Consider the following 19,075-nt stretch of genomic DNA (forward strand, 5'->3'; position numbering starts at 1 on the left):
CCAAGTTCACTGCAGCACTATTCACAATAGCCAAGATATGGAATCAACCTAGGTGTCCATCAACAAGATGAACAGATAAAGAAAACCAGGGATATATACACAATATATACACAATGGGATATATACACAATACTATTCAGCCTTTAAAAAGAAGAAAATTATATCATTTGTGACAATATGGATAAACCTGGAGGACATTATGTTAAGTGAACTAAACCAGCCACAGAAAGACAAATACCACATGATCTCACTTATACGTGGAATCTAAAAGAGTTAAACTCATAGAAGCAGAGTAGAATAGTGGTTACTAGGGGTTGGGGTAGATGTTGGTCAAAGGATGCAAAATTTCAGTTAGATAGGAGGAATAAGTTCAAGAGATCTATGGTACTAGACGTTGACTAGAGTTAATAACAATTTATTGCATTCTTGAAAATTGCTGAGAGTAGAGTTTAAGTGTTCTCACTACAAAAAATAAGTATGTGAAGTAATGCATATGGTAATTAGCTTGATTTAGCCCTTTCACAATGTATACGTATTTCAAAACAATATGCTGTACATGATAAACATATAATTTTGTCAATTAATTTTTAAAATTAATTAGGTGTGGAAGAATTCTTTGCAAACCTCAGGGCTAAAATCTAAGCTTGAGCATGACTGCAAGCTCTATAATACATGGCATCCCATTTTCCAAATTTCATTAGACTGGAATGAGATGAGGTTATTTTTTTTAAAAAAATGCTTAATTCTATTCCTCTTTGCTTCTGTCTGCTCATGCAAGCCCCAGTATCTGAACATTTTCACAAAGTAGAGACCACAATGGGTTTTGCCCACCATTTGTGTCCCCCTGGCATTGTATTGCTATTACCTGGCATATGGTGGGTAACCAGCAAATATTTGTTAAATGAATGTTGAAATTTCTCCCAGGGAAGTCTGGTCTGCTACCCAGTAGTATCTGCTGGGCATCACTGTTGTTTCTGTGGCAAACTGCCTGTCCCACTTGTACTGCCACCCTTGCTGAGCAGAGCTGTCATTTCCACTGGCTAGAACCACTTCTGCCAAATGCTGCCACCTCCCAGTGGATAGTGAGGTATCCAGCTGGGCATTGCCAGAGCTGAGCCCGGTAATTCCCAGGCTTCTCTTGTTCCACCTGATTTTCCATTATTCTCTGGGAAAGCAATATAAAAACTGCATTACTATGCCACAGTACTTGACAGAGTGGTAGTCAAACCACTCTTTCAGCTTTAACTTCCAGTTCACTTTCTCCTTAAGACCCAGGAATGGACCACAGGCAGATTTGAGAATGAGACAACATGCGTCAGAATCCCACCTCCCCTCTGAAGTTTTAGGGTTGGAGGGTCATGCTGTCTCCTTCTTCCCAGTGGGGTGAATTTTCTCCTAGAATGCTCCTGGGTCCTTCATGCCAAGCAGCACTAAGGGCTGTCAGAAGCCCTCCCTTGGTCCCCCACCACTCCAGTTTAGTAGCCTTGTCCAGACTTGTCTGAACCCATGTTGCACACAGCTTAAATTCCAAGTGGGACCTCTGGCTACATTTGCAATTGAATTCAAGACCATATTGCATTCTGCACCAGGCACGGTGGCTCAGGCCAGGCATGGTGGCTCATGCCTGTAATCCCAGCACTTTGGGATGCTGAGGGGGGCAGATCACTTGAGGCCAGGAGTCCGAGACCAGGCTGGCCAACATGGCAATACCCCATCTCTACTAAAAATACAAAAATTATCCAGGCGTGGTGGTGCACATCTGTAATCCCAGCTACTTGGGAGGCTGAGGCATGAGAATTGCTTGAACCTGGAAGGCGGAGGTTGCAGTGAGCCAAGATCGTGCCACTGCACTTCAGCCTGAGCAACAGAGTGACACTCTGTCTAAAAATAAAAATAATAATAAATAATAATTTAAAAACTGTATTCCATAGAGAATCACAGTCAATACAAAGTAGCCTGTTGAGGTGGAGAACTTTGGAATGATAACCATCATTTAAAAGATTATTGTTTCCAGTTTGGTCCCACGTAAACAGGTAGCTAAGGATATAAAGCAGAACCACAACACCATTTCACCCTCACCCCCTTTCCTCATCCAAATCTTCCAGTGGACATTTTTCTTATGTCTAACTCAACCTAAATGGGTTGGGAAGAATGTGGAAGGGGCAGCCAGACACTCAGTGAAAGGAGAAAGACAGTACAAATACAGTGTGAAGGGGAAATCTCACCAAGAAGAGGCCAATGGCTTGTATCTTGCCCCAACCTAAATACCACCTTTTCTATTTCACCAGAGTCTATTGCACAGTGTCTGCACAGTGAAAGGCTATTGAAGGGCATCTCCAGGACAATAATTTGTCACTAGATTCCCTTCACAGATGGTATAGTGTGTTAAATGGTGATCCCCAAAAAAACATGGCCAGGAACTAATCCTGAGTACCTGTGAACATAAACTCATTTAGAAAAATTATCTTTGCAGATGTAATTAAGTTAAAGATCTTGAGATGAGACCACCCTGGATTAACCAGGTGGGCCCTAAATTCAATGACAAGATTTTCTTCCTTTTTCCTTTGAGACAGAGTCTCACTATGTCTCCCAGGCTGGAGTGCTGTGGCACGATCTTGCCTCACTGCAACCTCCGCCTCCTAGGCTCAAGCGATTCTTGTTCCTCAGCCTCCCAAGTAGCAGGGATTGCAGGTGCCTGCCACCACGTCCCGCTAATTTTTGTACTTTCAGTAGAGATGGGGTTTCACCATGTTGGCCAGGCTGTCTCAAACTCCTGGCCTCAGATGACCCACCTGCCTCAGCCTCCCAAAGTGCTGGGACTACAGGCATGAGCCACTGCACCCAGCCAGTGACAAGTATTCTCATAAGAGACAAAGAAGAGAAGACAGACACCATGGACAAGGCCATGTGAAAATGGAAGCAGATATGGGAGTTGTGCAGCCAAATGCTGAGAAACACCTGGGGCCACCAGAAGCTGGAAGAGGTGAGAAGGGATTTTTCTCCCCAACTCTTGGGAGGGAATGCAGCCCTACCGACACCTACTGTCAGGCTTCTGTTCTCCAGAGCTGTGAGAGAATATATTTGTGTTGTTTTAAGCCACCAAGTTCGTGGTGATTTTTTACAGAAAAACCCAGAAAACTAATATGGAGGTTATTTATGTTTATAAGCCAACCTTGTCCCTAAGCTGCTTCATTACCTGGCTGTATTATTTTTAATTGTCTGGGAGATTAAAGAGGATAACTTCCGTTTATTGAGTGACTACTCTGTACCAGGCCCTGTCTCAGGCACATATATTATCTCAGTTAATGATTATAGCAGCCTTGTAAGGGTAATAACATTAGGCCCATTTTATTAATTTAAAAACTGAGGCTTTGCCCAATATCATGCAGCAAATAAATGTTTGAGCTAGGACCTCAATCTAGATTCTGAGCTCTTTGTTCTTTCTCCTATACTACAACTACATGAAACTAAGATTTTTAATTTTCTTATTTCTTGTTTGTTTGGGTTTTGTGTTTGGGGGAAGGGGGTTGTTTTTGTTTTGTTTTGAGACAGGGTCTCTCTGTCTCTGTTGCCCAGGCTGGAGGCTGGAGGCTGGAGTGCAGTGGCACAATCCCAGTTCACTGCAACTTCCGCCTCTTGGGTTCAAGTGATTCTTCTGTCTCAGCCTTCCAGGCAGCTGGGACTACAAGTTCACACCACCATGCCCAGCTAATTTTTTGTATTTTTAGTAGAGATCGGGTTTCACCATGTTGGCCAGGCTGGTCTCGAACTCCTGACCTCTGGTGATCCGCCTGGCTTGGCCTCCCAAAGTGCTGGCATTACAGGTGTCAGCCACCATGTCTGGCCAATTTTCTTATTTCTTAAAGGGAAAACAGGCTATTGTATTAAGACTCCACTTTCACAGAAAACTAGATTCTGTCCAGGGTAGGATATATAGTTTCAGGAAGGCCAGAAATTGTCCTTGAGTTGTTATGGGAGATGGGGAGGACATTTATGAAATGTCATGGAATCTTTGACAGTCTTCTAAAGGCCTCTAGAGGTCGTGCAGGCCAAATACATCCCAGTCCATGCATATCCCTTAAAGCATTGGCTTGAACTGTGGCATGAGGAGAAATTCACCCTTATAAGAAGCTGCCCTTTCGGTTTAAACAGTCCTCTTTCAATGGAGCCAAAATAGGCTCCAATTCTTCCTTGGAAGCCACACAGAATCCCAAATCCCTTCACTGCAACAGCCTTTCAAGAACTGATACAATAAAGAGGACACACACAAAAGTAGAAATTTCTTTTTTGCCATTAAAGAGGCTTGTTCTGTGATCTCTTCCTTATAAGATATGATTTCCAGCTCCATCCCTACCCTGGCTCACCCTCCAGTCATGCACAAATCTGCCCATGCTCTCCTTTCAAGGGAACACCCACTGTCCAGGTCATAATCACAGCTTTAGTGGGGCTGAGGCACAGTCATTTTCTCCCTTTAGTTTCACCTCACTTCTCTCTTTCCATCTTGATTTTTACCCCAGCCCCTCACACTCAAGCTGATCCAAACTGTCATCCATCTACCAAAGGGTGGTACTGCTGATAACTACACAAATGCATTAACTCTCTGAAGTATTTCACCAACCCACTCACCCACCTGCCTCTGAAGCCTCCTGTTTTGAAGTGGCAATGTGATCAATCAAGTCAGTTTCATGTTCCCAGCCCACACAGTACAGGGAAAAAATTAATGACACTGACTGTTCTTGCTACAGAAGCAACTCAAGTAGACAGCAGCCTTCACAACAGCAGAAAAGGAACACTTCGCTTTTAGTCATACTGTAAGAAAAGGGTGTGGGGGGGAGGAAGTGTGTCTCTGTGTGTGTGTGTGTGTGTGTGTGTGTGTGTGTGTGTGTGTGTGTATATATATATAGTAAAAAGCCATTTGCCTAAAGGCCATAACATGGCTTATGCTCCACTGGCTTAAGTAAAAACTAGGACTCCTCTTTTCACTCAGTGCTTAAGCATTTCACAGACAACAGGGTCAGTAAAGACAGAAATACTTGATTTAGAGTCTTTACCCAGCCCCTGTAGTTTGCAGATTGGGACTTCCAAAGCCAACCCAATGTGAACGGAACGGATGCAGTACAAGGACAGGAGAGGCCCCTCCGCACCATCCATCATAGGCTCCCAGCAGCTCTGCCTAATTTCCTGCCCACCAGACCCAGGGAGTAAAGACTGGGTACATTTCTCCCATTCTCTCTCTCTCTCTCTCTCTCTCTCTCTCTCTCTCTGCAGGGAGTAAAGACTAGGTACATTTCTCCCATTCTCTCTCTCTCTCTCTCTCTCTCTCCAGGGAGTAAAGACTGGGTACATTTCTCCCATTCTCTCTCTCTCTCTCTCCTCTCCTCTCTCTCTCTCTCTCTCTCTGTCTCCTTCTCCCTCTCTCCTGCTCTCTCTCCACCCTTCATTCTTGCTTCAAGCCCAGCCCAGAGGTCAGCGTCTCCCTTATGAAAATAAAATCCATCCCTTGCACGGGAAGAACTGTGAGGTGTTAAAGGCCTGCTCTGTTCAGCTTTGTGCACAGGTGCCAGGCCCTACCTGTTTCCCTTACTGTCCTCAAAAGGAAATGGCCCCTCTGTACTCCTCATTCCTCATGTCCCTAGACGTACTCAGATTTCCATGCCCTGAAACATTTATTTCCTAAATTAGATTTCCCACCCCCAGCACTATTTACACAGAAACAGCATGGAGCAGTTTGGAGTCTGGCTCTTAGAGAACTTACTTAAGGACAGTGGTTTTCCATCTGTCTTCCACAGAGATCTAGGGTGTCTTTGGAACCACCCTGGGGGGCAAGGGAAGGCCCACGTGATAGGCTCACTTTTACATATAGAAATACTGTGTAGGATTTTTTTTAATAGGAATACTTTTCTACTCAAGAAAAAAAAAAAGCCACGTTACCATAGGGAAGCACTGCTTCCTTATTTATCGCCACATGGCCATGAAACACACAAACAGAAAGCTCGTGCCTTCTCTGCTTCACTGTGGAAAAGAAAAAGCTAAGAAAAGCCTTTGTGTTGGACAGTAAAAAGCCACAAACAGGCAGAATGTTATTGCTTCAGCTTCTCCCAGTTCTTAGAATGACACAGTCTCAGACAGCTCAGGATCATCCAGTCCAGCCCTTCATTATTCAGATGTGAAATGAAAACCCACAGAGGTTAATGGTTTGCTTTATTAACTTAGAAGCAAAGTCACTACCACAATTTTTTATACATAGTGGACACTCAGTGTTGAAAGAATAAATGTTTACATAAATAATTTGCTAATATACACCCAATTCATTCCAGAAAACAGTTCAGGTGGTTTTCTAAGAAACATAAATCGAACAAACAAAAAAGAATGACATTTAATAGGAGTGGCAAAAAGAATGAATAGATATGAGCAGAGATGTTCTTGTCTTGAACTAAAGCTCCAAAAATTGCTACCTCAATACTCAAGACTTTGAAAATTAACATTCATTGTACTTTTCTAGGCTGTTCTAAATTTGAGTAATGAACGATTTTCTACTTAGAAGTTTAGATAACTAGTGAGAAGCCAATGAGGGCTTGCAGGTAAAGAGGTGTCTTTGTGGATAATATCTTGTGTCTAGGTATATACCGCCTTGATTTCATTAAAATTTGATGGCTCTTCTCTCAAGACCAGAGCCTTTTCACTAAGATTTGCTGTAAGAAAACAGAATTGGGTTATGACAAACAGCAGGCCAGGTAGAGAACCTAAAGAGGTCACATAGGCTGGCATGTGTTGGGACAGGCTTGATGGCTGTGTGCAGGTATCTTGCGGAAGAAAGCTATAGTCTCACTTCTCTAAGATTTGCCCATGAACCAGTAACAATGGCATCACCTGGGAGCTGGCTAGAAATGCAGGCTCTCAGGTCCCACCCCATATCCACAGAATCAGAATCTGCATTTTAACAAGATTACCAGTTCATCTGAATGCACATTAAAGTTTGAAAAGCAGTGCTCCACAGCATCTTTAAATGCACTGATGCAGATGCCTAAAGTGCAGCCATAAAGACCTTATGAAGATTTCTCAAAGAACTAAAAATAGAACTACCATTTGATCCAGTAATCCACTACTGGGTATATATCCAAAGGGAAAGAAATCATTACATCAAAAAGATACCTGCACTTGTATGCCTATTGCAGCACCATTCACGATAGGAAAGACAGAATCACCCTAAGTCTTCATCAACAGAGGACTGGGTAAAGAAAACATATATACCATGGAATATTACGTAGCCATAAAAAAGACTGAAATCATGTCTTTTGTAGCAGCATGGATGGAACTGGAAGCCATTATCCTAAGTGTAATAACTCAGAAACAGACAGTAAAATAATGTATGTTCTCACTTATAAGAATGAATATGCAATGGGTATACACAGTGGAATAGTAGACACTGGAGACTACAAAAGGTGGGAGGGTGGGAAGGGGGTGAGGGTTGAAATCTTACCTATTTGAGTAATGAACACAGTGTTCACTATTCAGGCGATGGATACACGAAAAGCCCAGACTTCACCACTATGCAATATATGCATGTAAGAAATCTACACATGTACCCCCAAATATATACAAATTTTACATTTTTAATTAAAATAAAATAAATGCAGCCATAGAATAACAAAATAAAGCCTGAAACATACAGTTGGCTTGGAGCACATCAATAAGAAGGACTTAGGGGAAGTGGGGAGAAAACTTTGGTTTGGTTTTTGTTTTTAGAGGTTTCTGTTGTCCTCATTGATCTTTGATGAAACTATCAAATGAAAGTCAAATGGGGAAAACCTACTTTTTGAGCCAATTTGTTTAGTCATACTTTGGCACACATTGACAAAGATATTCACCCCCAGGGGGCATAATTGTTCTTGAGAAATGACTTTGTTTTAGAGAAAACTTTTGTTTCCAGAGGCACAGGCTACACAGCACGGAGTGGAATAGAAATACGGCGATTATCCAGTTCATTTACTTGCAGTACACAGCCAGACAAACCAATCCAGGTAGTGCGGGCCATAAAAAACATTTCGAGGTGCCTGAATTATCCAGGTTCACTGCTAACTTTGTTCAAATGAACTGGATCACAGCCAGCCCCACACAGCATTGTGTGCTTTTAAATATAGTGCAAGGGGAACCTGCACCAGCAGACATGAGGAGGGGAGGGGCAGGTGTCGGTGACCCTTGGACCCAGACAGCATCTGACAAAGGGTGACATTAGGCTTTGGCAGAGCCTCGGCTGCACTGTCTGCAAAGCAGTTATCACATGGAAGACAGGGCGGCCTGCCAAAATACAGACACTGGGACCAACCAAAGGATAATTGCTATAAATTCCATACAGGGAGCGGAGAGAGAGATGTCAGCAGAACACAAATCCTGGCTGGGTAGCAGCACACACAGGACTGCAGGGTAGAGTACGACAAGAAAGGGAATATTTTTTTGAAAAGGCCAAATTTGTTCAAACAAGGTATGGCAGGCCAGCTGGAAGACATGTCAGTCAAGGACTAGACTCTCTGCTCAGAGGTATTTCTGTCACTTGCACACGACAGCTTCTCAAAACTAAATATAAGGAAAAATTAGAGCTAGATTTTCTCCAGGTATGGGGTGAGTTCTAATTGTAATTTAGAAACTGGCAGATTGACTAGTATTTGTTCAGCCCCTCCTAAGTGGCAGGTCCCTTTTCAGGTGTTTTGCATAAATTGGCTATTGGAAGGAAGTGGGGGTGATTAACCCCTTAGGGATCAAAACCACCCCTAATGGATTCTTATTGGGACTATAGGGATCTAGTGATCCCTGAAGTTCCTAGAATTGTCTGAACATTTTTTTTTTTTTTTGAGATGGAGTCTCACTCTGTCGCCCAGGCTGGAGTGCATTGGCGTGATCTTGGCTCACTGCAAGCTCTGCCTCCTGGGTTCACGCCATTCTCTTGCCTCAGCCTCCCGAGTAACTGGGACTACTGGTGCCCGCCACCACGCCTGGCTAATTTTTTTGTATTTTTAGTAGAGACGGGGTTTCACCATGCTCGGCAGGATGGTCTCGAACTCCTGACCTTGTGATCCGCCCGCCTCGGCCTCCCAAAGTGCTGGGATTACAGGCATGAGCCACCGCGCCCGGTCTGAAAATTTTTATATGTATTTACATGTATGTTTTTTTCTGAGAGAAGAAACCATAGTTCTCATCAGATTCTCAAACAGATCCATGACCCCAAAAAGATTAAGAATTACGGTTAGCTGAATGAACTAGGGAAAACTGAAGGAATAACATCTATAGAGTATTCTCTGCCAGGCCCTGTACTTGGTGACATCATTCGATATGGTTTTGCTGTGTCCCCACCCAATCTCATCTTGAATTGTACTCCCATAATTCCCACACATCGTGGGAAGGACCCAGTGGGAGATAACTGAATCATGGGGGCAGTTTCCCCCATACTGTTCTCATGGCAGTGAATAAGTCTCACCAGATCTGATGGTTTTATAAGAGGTTTCCCCTTTTGCTTGGCTCTCTTTCTTTCTTTCTTGCCGCCACGTAAGACATGAGGCCATGTCTGCCATGGTTGTGAGGCTTTCCCAGCCACGTGGAACTGTGAATCCATTAAACCTCTTTTTCTTTATAAATGAGTCTCAGGTATGTCTTTATCAACAGCATGAAAACAGACTAATACATCATTTAATTCTCCTAAAAACCCTAGTGGCATCATCCCCATTTTACAGTTAAGGAAAAGCAAAGCTAAAAGTGGACAGGTAGCCTTATCAGGTGAGCACACCTACTAACTGTAAGGTCTAGAAGGTAAACTCAGACCTATCTAGTCCAAAAAAGTCGGCTTTTTTTAATACTATGATGCTTCCTGGGTATGTTTTTTTTGTGGGGAGGTGGGTGGTTACAGAGTTAATGAAGGAAGGCACCAAGGAAGACCAACGTGGCATTTTTCGCTGTCTCTTGAAGAATGAGCTGAGATTGGGCATCTCAAGGGAGAAGGAAGCACATTCCAGGTGAAAGGGGCAAGGTTAAAAGAGGCAGAGCGGTGGGAAAAGATGAGATGTTAACTGAGGACATCGCCTTCCCTCCTGTTGACTAAGGCACTTCGTAAAAACTTGAGAGCCAGCTAACAGTCACAAGACTAAATGCATCCCAGGATTAAACTTCTAGCCCATTTTGTCTTAAATTTCCTGCCACCCAAACCCCAGTGGAAACAGAAGATAACCTCTCCTACCAGAGACCCTGACATAAAGCCCAGAAGCTGCTTAATGCCCAATATCGATTCAAACAAGCTCATTTTGTTTCTTTCTAATGCATCGTAAGCAGGAAGAGCAGGCTTACTGCAGGTCAGGAAGAAGCCAAGAGCTTACCCAGGGCCACCGGAGCCCAGACAGCAACACAGGGCCTCTCTGGAAGGAAAAGATTGTCTGTTAATTGTGTGGGGTTTAATGCATCTCCAGTCCCCCAAGACTGCTCCTGTCTCAACATAAATAATATCCAGAGACTAAATATTCCATGTGCACCACAATACAGTTAATCGGGCTTTAGACACACATTGACTCTACGGTGGGATTCTGCTACCTTCTGAAACAGAAAAGCCATTGACAAGAGGAATATTAGCATGGAATCCCATGTAATTGAATTGTGGTTTTACGTCTTGAGATTAACAGATGACAGAGTCTTATCCCAGAGTACCCGCGCCCCTCTCCTTACCCTGCAGACACACTGCAGACCATTCGGCCATCACCATCAGCCACACAGTCTTTAGTTCTGGTGTTGTTTTTAGAAATTAACTCTTTTTTAAGGGAGCCATTTCACATGCAATATTGCTGCTCAGGTAATAACTCCAAAGCATCTTCTCATTGGCTGATAAATGATTTTAAGTGGATAACAGGCCAAACCTCTTCAGGATCCCTGGATGGGAATTCTTGAGAGTTTGTTTCCCATAAATAGAGGGCAAAAGGATGTTAAAAAGATAAAGATGCGTGCCATTCATCTTGTTTCAGTAGATCATAAGTTCCTCGAGGGCAGGAAAAGGTTATTTGCTGATTGATTTAATATTTATTGAGTCCTAATTGTCTTCATGGACCATAGAAATAAATCTATCGATATACTTCATTACAAGAAAACATATTGCTCCCTTTAGAAAGGACACAACAGCATTCCCTTTGATGCCTCCTTTCCTTTATACTGATTAACAACTTGAAAGAGCAGTTCTTGTTCTAAAAACAAAATATGAGTAGAAAAATCATTCTATTCCATAAAACCGGAATGAAAGATTCTCCCTCTCTGAAATAACAAGGTGGTTAGAAATGAAGGAGCTGCAGGGGAAGGAGGCAGAGGGACCCATCATCCCTGAAAACATTTCACTTTCAAAGTACACAATATCAAAAATCATATGTAATTACGAGATTTCCCTATACTTAGTATTCTCAAAACATGGTTTCAGCCAGAATGGATGTGCTGCATAAGGAAACCTAAAAAGAAAAATTTTAAAAACAAACCAAAAAAAGCTAACAAATTTCTAACAGAGTTACTACTCTCAAGACCAGCAAATATGTGCCTATAAATAAATGCATTACTCGCGCCTACCAGCATATCACCTAAAAGTGCTACACTTAGGCCGGGGGCCGGGGTGGGAGGGCGGCAGGAGGGGGGAATGACACAGGATAAAGGGTGGCTGCAGTTTTACCCACGTGAACAGCACTCGGACCATCACCGGCACGTGCAGCATGTCAGAGCTCTGGATTGAGATCATTACAAGCCCAACTTTGGCAGCTCGTTATCAATTCAGTGTGGGTGCTGTTTTGTAAACACATTTAATTTGGTTTTAAATTTTAATCCATAAAGTCATTACTAAAGGACTCCAGGCTGCTGAAATGATGAACCAACTGCTTCTAAAGCTGACACGAAGGCACCAGAGCCAGGGATGGGGCTTTCCGTCCTCAGCTCCTTTCTTTGCTTCCCTTACCCCTCTCGCATCCCTGATTTCCTTCTCACCAGTGAACTGATTCTCTCATGCATGGTCCCTGCTCACATGGAAGATTTTTCTGTTCCTACCGGCTGTGTATGCATATGTGTGTCTCTGGGTTGTGTCTGTGTGTTTATGTGTCTGTCTCCTCTCTCTCTCTCTCCACACACACACACACACACACACACACACACACACACACACACACACAAGAACACACAATGAAGCTCATTGCCTTTTTCTGACCCAATATTCCAATCACTGCCTCCTCTACCTTTCCAATTTAATCTACTTCTATACATAAGCATTACTCTTTAACAAAAAGATCAGGCACTGGGTGAGTTTGGAGGAATGAAATTGACTTAAAGAGCTGATGGCAGGGAGTACAGGTGACTGACAGATGGACTGACCAACTGATGGGGCCGGCGGCATCTTATCTATTGCCCTCCTTGGAGAATTGGTTCTCATGGATAATTAACCATAAAATGAGAGGTTTTCTTCAAAGGAGAGATCAAAAGGTGAATCTTTCAAAACATGCCATATTATAAAATTTGGTTTATTTAAGAATGTATCAGCTCTGGTTCTAAGGGATTTGTTTTATTTCAGCTTCTATTTTAGATACAGGGGGTACATGTGTGGGTTTGTTACATGGGTATATTGCACCCAGGTAGTGAGAATAGTACCCAGTAGGTGGTTTTTCAACCCACAGCCCCTTCCATTCCTCCCTTCTCCTCCAGTAGCCCGCAGTGCCTGTTGTCCCCATGTTTATGTCCATGTGTCTCTATGTTTAGTTCCCACTTATCTATGAGAACATGCAGTATTTGGTTTTCTGTTCCTGCTTTAATTTGCTTAGGATGATGACCTCTAGCTCCGTAACCACCAGTTTACTCCTCATAACAACCCTGTGAGGATGGTATCATCCTTGTCCTCCACTTCCCAGGAGGCTGGAGCAAACGTGCCCAAAATCTCACAACTGGAAAGTGACTATCAGGATGTCCACGCAGATAGTCCAGCTCCAGAGTCCATGCTTCTAGCTACTACACTCCGCAGTTTCTGATTTGATGGATTGCATCTTTGTCTAATAGAGAGGAAAATTTGCATTTATTTTTGTATGCATTTTATCTACTATTAAAGCCAAGTTTTCTCTATCAGGGAAAACAGATTAAACATTTACCCTACTGGGTAAATCAGTTATTATCCTATTTACCCTCTTGGGTGTTTATCCTATTTTATTTGCCCCATTGTGTAAATCAAATATTGTTCACAACTTGTGTTTATGGCCCCACCATTAACATTAACAACATGTGTGTTGACAAGAAATATTCTAGACCAACTTCTCATGCTTCCTTCAATCCATTCCCTTTGTCAGTCCATAGACATAATCACCTCCCATTCCCATTCCAAAAAGCAGCTTCTTGCAGAACCATTCTCAAGCACTCTCCCCTACTGCTCAGTGAGGTTTAATATAGCATCCCAGAGCAGCCAAGCTTAAACAGCCCTGGGGCACCTAACACAGAGGCTCAGGAAGCTTCCCTAGAAAAGAACTAGTGTTGATCAAGAAAGTCTCCATGTGCTGTGCTGTTCTGTGATAATCTGTCTGTCTTCCTTTGATCTAATGTTAAAGTGGGCAAAATAAACCCTGGACAATGTGGGAAAGCCAAAAGAGTGATTCCATTCTTTTTCTAGGGTAATAGTAATAACATTTTCTCTTCTGTAGGACTGGTGTTTTTACTGAAGTTTCTTCCAAAGAATGCTGTGCTTTAGGATTTTAAAAACCAAAGGCCCCAGGACTTTTTCCTCTTTCAAAAATGGATGGTTCTGCTTTTCATTTAAGGTGCAGTTTAGAGAGAAGCAGCCTGTGAAACCAATTAACTAATTGGAAATCACTTAATGACTGTAGCAGCATTTTGGATTTCCGGCGTTGGTTCACAGCAGTCAAGAGAAATTGCTTTCCAATATTATGATAAGGTAAGCTGTGGAGGTCTCACAGGGGGCGGTTGAAGGCTGCTGAGAGAAACAATCAGCTCTAATATGCCCACCAAAATAATGGAGACATTATAACATGGAACTCAGTGATTGTAAAGTAAGCACAACATAAAAATCCAAAGATATGTGGAGATCTGCTGAGAATAAATGTGCAGCCATAGTTCCTTGCTATGATTTTTTGAGATCTTACAATCTTCACATAGTCATTATGCTGTGGAAATTGCTCTTACAGAGAGAGCCAGGCTTGTGTGGAAAAGGAGGTGACATGAGGAGAAGGAAAAAATAATAAAGTAAGTGCTTACCCTGGAACAATTGTTCAATTAATTGTTTAGTATGAATATAGTCATTGTTCACATTAGGGAAATAATCTAGTTAATTGCTCAAGAGTTAACATAGGCAGAGGAAATAAATTACCCCAAACCAAATATTTTATCCATTTGCCATTGGTTTGTCTTAAGGTAATAAATTCTCTTAGCCTATTCTAAATATCATAATTCATTAAACCAAAAACATCACTGTAGAAAATAATATCAGCAATCTCTAATATATCTCATTCCTTTTTCACTTTATTTTAAAAGAGAGGCACAGGGATATGCATGAGCAAAGGCAGTTTAAACTTGCTTTGAGGTGGACAGTTGGTCCTTATTTCTCCCGGGCCTCAGAATTATTTTGTGAGTATGGCAATCTTTCCCCCCAACCCCTTTGCCTTAGTTTACTCAGCTGTAAAATGGATTGACACATGTTAGAAGACATAGGTGTTCAAATGATGGTCACATTTTACAAACACGAAGCTAGAACACTGTAAATTCTTCCAGCAATGACAAACTTTCATTTTTTCTTCCCCATTGGTACAGTAAGTTTGGGCAACAAAGAGTCTCTCTGGGAGATATTTGCTGTTGTTTTCCAACAGGAAGGAAATTCTGTACACCCACTTGTCACTCTACTGCCTGCATTTGGGCCTTATCTAGTCCCCAGCTTTATTAATTCAGTAATGACGAGCAATGTATTAGATGCCTCCACTGGGTACTGCCTTAGATGCTTGCTTTGCATTCAGCCATTACCCAAAGGACAGGAGGACAGAAGGTGTTCTCTTTTCAGGCAGCAACATAAATAAAGACAAGTGTCACTCACACAAATCACTGTGCCAAGCATTAGCCCACCAGACCATGGGACTACATTAGCCCTTTCTTCTCACCTGTCTCATACAGTAGGTGCTCATTCAAAGCAGGACTCTCGTTGTAGAGCTACATGCCTGGAAGTCCTTCATACAAGAAAACACCTGAAAATACCTGGGGTGAGGTGGACAACACTAGTACTATAACAGACTGGTGATTCTTCCTTTACAAACAATGTTTCATCCTGAGCAAATTATTACCTGTTTAAATTATTACCTTTCCTAGGCTTAATTTCTCATCTGCATTCCAGAAAGTGACATCCTACTAACATCCAGATTATATCGAGACAACATGGGTGATAAACTGATTTTTCATTACCAGTAAAGATGATCAATAAGTAAAACAGAACATTGACTAATGATACAGTGGAGGAGCCACCATATCAAGAATGTGCCAGATGTGAGCTGGACTACCATGAAATAACAAGGAAACATTCCATTCTTCTTAATAAAAGAAAAACCTCCAACCTATCAAAGGAGAAAAATCCTGCATATTAACCTTTCAGACTGATTCAGAACATTTTCCAGGATGATGCACCTGAAGAAAAACGTGTGATTCAACTAATAGCGTTCGTCATGTTGCAGACTGATCCAAAGGTGAGGCTATACCTGCGAAGACAGGCTGAATGCCAACTCGTGTAGCCTCATTTGCAAAGCTCGGCACTCTGGAGCTTAAATGTCCCTGCTTAACAAATGGGGAGCAATTTAGTCTGTTGTATAAAGACAAGACCAAGGCCAAAGTCTAACAATAGCTTCCCTCTCGCCCAGTCCTTGAGTTAGTAAATGTTATTACAAAAAGAAAATATACTTTTATCTAGGTTGTTACTTTTTCCCTCTGCTGTCCTCTGTGGCTTTGCCTATAAGCTCACAGTTTTTAGTTAAATTGGACAATTACTGAGTGAGAAGTGCATAATTAATGAACAGTCACCGTATATGTTTGGGAAACTGTGACCCAATCACTGAACAGATAACTGAACCACTAAAATAAATGACTTGTCCCACTCATTACCTGATCAGCATTTGTTTAGAAGTTCCTTGGTGCCCTATCAAAATTCTAATCAGTTCTATTTAAATTACATTTTTTTGCACTGCATTGTTATAAATGCTAATTTATGCCTAGAATGGAACAGCTTTATTTCTTACCTCCTGAAGAAACGGATGAATAAAAACATACTTCTACAGGGCATAAAAGATTATCAAGGGTTCAATGACTATTGGGTTTTGCACTCACCAAAACACATCCTGAGACTTCGAGCTGAAGCTTTAGGGGACAATAAGGACATTCAAACCTCACATAGCAAAGCCATCCCCAAGAGGAAGCTGAGGACTGTCACAGCAGCATCTGCAACCACCACAGGGATTTGCTGCCTTTGGGGACTGGACAGTCTTTGGGGTGGTGAAGAGAAAGAAGGGAAAATTCTTACAACTTGAGAATAATGATCCAAAGAATCTTAAAGGCAGATGATTATTTCAGAATCTCTAGGCAACTTTTGTGCACAGAGAGGGATTTCTCTGAGCCTGGTAGCCCATCTGCTTTTGCGATGATGTCCATGTCCACCAGCTTGTAGGCGGTGGCAGATCTCACATGGTAACTCCATATATTTTTCACAATTAGTTTGGTCTCCAAACTTAGCACCAAGATGTCACTCTAAGCAACTCAGGCAGGTCCACCCAAGAGAAGACTAAAGCACGGTTTTGCTCTCTCTGATGTACAAGCCTTGACCACTTGCAGCCTAGGGGTGGCCCAGACAGACCCTAAGTCATTTGGGATCTAGAGGACCTCAGAAGAGAGAAGATTGAGACTGGTGTTCTAGAAATAGCTAGAAATCTCCTAATGAGGCCACAAAAGTCCTGCCTTTAAAAGTGCTTCATCCACTATGACGCTCCCTTCCCATTCCAGGCTCAGTGTCTGTGGAAGTCAGCGAGTCTGCCATTATCCTGCCTGGAGTGGGAGGCATCAAATTCAGAATTCATTGCCAGAAGTTTTTTATAAGCTGAGGAATTACCTTGAGAGGATTGAATTTCCAAGCGCAAGTCAGCAGCTGCTGGGGAGGCTGGGGCCCCCTCAATCATCCTGTACCCACGAGTCTCTTGCAGAGAGGGGCGAGACAAGGCTGGATCAGCCTGGCTTAGGGCTGCATGGCCAAGGGGCTAGAAAACACAGGTTCACAAAGGCATTTAACCTCGTTTAAGCAGTGCAATGTGGCTGAGGCTTAAAACAAGGCTGGAACATTTTCTTGCTTATTATCACCTTGATAATCTTTTCTCGTAGCTAGGAAGGAGTGGCATGAGAAAGGGGGGCACAGGGAGACACTGGGAGAGGAGGGGTGGGCCATGGCACTGAACAGGAGGGGAGAAAGCTGCTGTTGTCCTGTTTTCTGAGTGTAGTTGGAAAGAGAGGAAGGATGTTTGCTCTCTAAATATTTTTACTTTTAAATAGCAACTGTTTTCCAGACTGCATGGCTAATCGCTTCATAGAAAAGGGAAGAAAAGAATAGCTTTCATTCACTTTCTTTGAAACCTATTCATTACAGTTTGAAAGCAAAATTTCTCTATGAAATACCTAAGTAGTGGCAGCATTTCTACAAGATCTAAGTGTGGGGGCGAGGGAGCAGAGACAGGAGAAGTAAATAGAACCCAGGAATAGCTGTGCTCGCGTCATCGTGGGAAGAAGACGACTGGTCACCTTCGTCTATTTCACAGAAAGTGCTGGGAGTGGTCCTCTCGGGGAAAGCAACAGGGCCCCCTCCCCACACCTTCCCAAAGAGGCGGTAACAGCATGCCTGTCTGCCCTGTGGCTGTAACCAATCCTAAAAGGAGTCTTTTTAGAGAAATTAAGCTTTACAATGATTGTTTCTCAATCTTGTTTAAATCAATTATAATAATAACTGATTCTAGTATGCATAAAAATCTCTCATCCTTCTCTGAAGCTATTTGAATGAAACCCAAATTAAAGTTCTGTGATGGGAGTATGTGGGGTTAAAAGCCTCACTCTGGTTCCTACCAGCAGATGACTGTGACTCTAATACCCACCCACCACTCTCCCGCCTGAGCATCCTTGGACTGGCAATCAAAAGTCCTAGATAATATTTCTAGTCAAATCTTTGTATAGCTTACATTTGAGTTATAGAATTTCACTGTTCTAATCTGAAAAAGAAAATTAAGCCCCTAGGGGAGTACATGTTGTGGACTTTACTACCAAATGTTCAGAGATTGCGAGGCTCTGTCACCATTGTGATTATCTTATTATTATTATTGTCATTGCAGGCATTTAACATTAACTGAGGAGCTACAATTTTCCTGACTGTATCCAGGATAAATGATACAGGGGTTTTACAGAATCATAGTTACCATTGACTCTAGGCCAATAATTTGGCATTTCATCTCAAAATGTTGCAATATTAGAAATGTGAGACAAGAGGTCAAATGAGAAGACATCCTCCATCTGTGAAGTGATTTGCATTTTCAATATATCAATTTAGCCTCCATCCATATCAGTTATAAAGCTGCAGAACAACCAAAGAGTCCTGTGACGTAGCACTAGAGGCTTCATTCCAGATTAAAATTAGTAATTAATCAATATTACCTATCTTTATTGTTCAATCCTCTTAGCAATTACTTGGAAGACAAAATAAGTAATGCTGGTTAAATTTTAAGGTGGCATAAATCTGAGAGAAATAGTTAATATTTTGAATTCCACATGACTCAAAGGTTCTTGCTAGGCTGGAGCAACGGAAAACAATTTATATGAAATATCACAAAAATAAACATAACCCTGCACTTAAGTTCAAAATGCCATTTTAGCTACATTATGTTTTACCAGAAATCACGTGAAAAACTAGCGGGGTTTTAGTGTGTGCCTTAAAATCAGGAGAAGCCAGTGTGATATGGCTGCCCAAAATGCTAACAGAATTTTAGATGACAGTAATAGACATCTAGTCCAAAACAGGAGA

The 19,075-nt window shown here is 42.2% G+C and overlaps 1 long non-coding RNA gene across 1 annotated transcript in view, besides 1 other annotated feature; it reads right to left on the reverse strand.

The window, feature by feature from the left end:
* Nucleotides 1–19,075, reverse strand: part of LOC105377448 (uncharacterized) — a 192,690-nt gene that overhangs the window by 8,144 nt on the left and 165,471 nt on the right. The gene's annotated exons all lie outside the window — the stretch shown is intronic.
* Nucleotides 14,856–16,055: an enhancer, noted in NCBI's record as "CDK7 strongly-dependent group 2 enhancer chr4:139764110-139765309 (GRCh37/hg19 assembly coordinates)". NCBI's record gives its function as "activates an origin of replication core promoter dependent on BRD2, BRD4, P300/CBP, MED14 and CDK7 cofactors, with strong dependence on CDK7, by STARR-seq in HCT116 cells {active_cell/tissue: HCT116}" and the evidence as "EXISTENCE:reporter gene assay evidence [ECO:0000049][PMID:35650434]".

This window comes from Homo sapiens, chromosome 4, assembly GCF_000001405.40.
Source record: "Homo sapiens chromosome 4, GRCh38.p14 Primary Assembly".
NCBI classification, from domain to species: domain Eukaryota; kingdom Metazoa; phylum Chordata; class Mammalia; order Primates; family Hominidae; genus Homo; species Homo sapiens.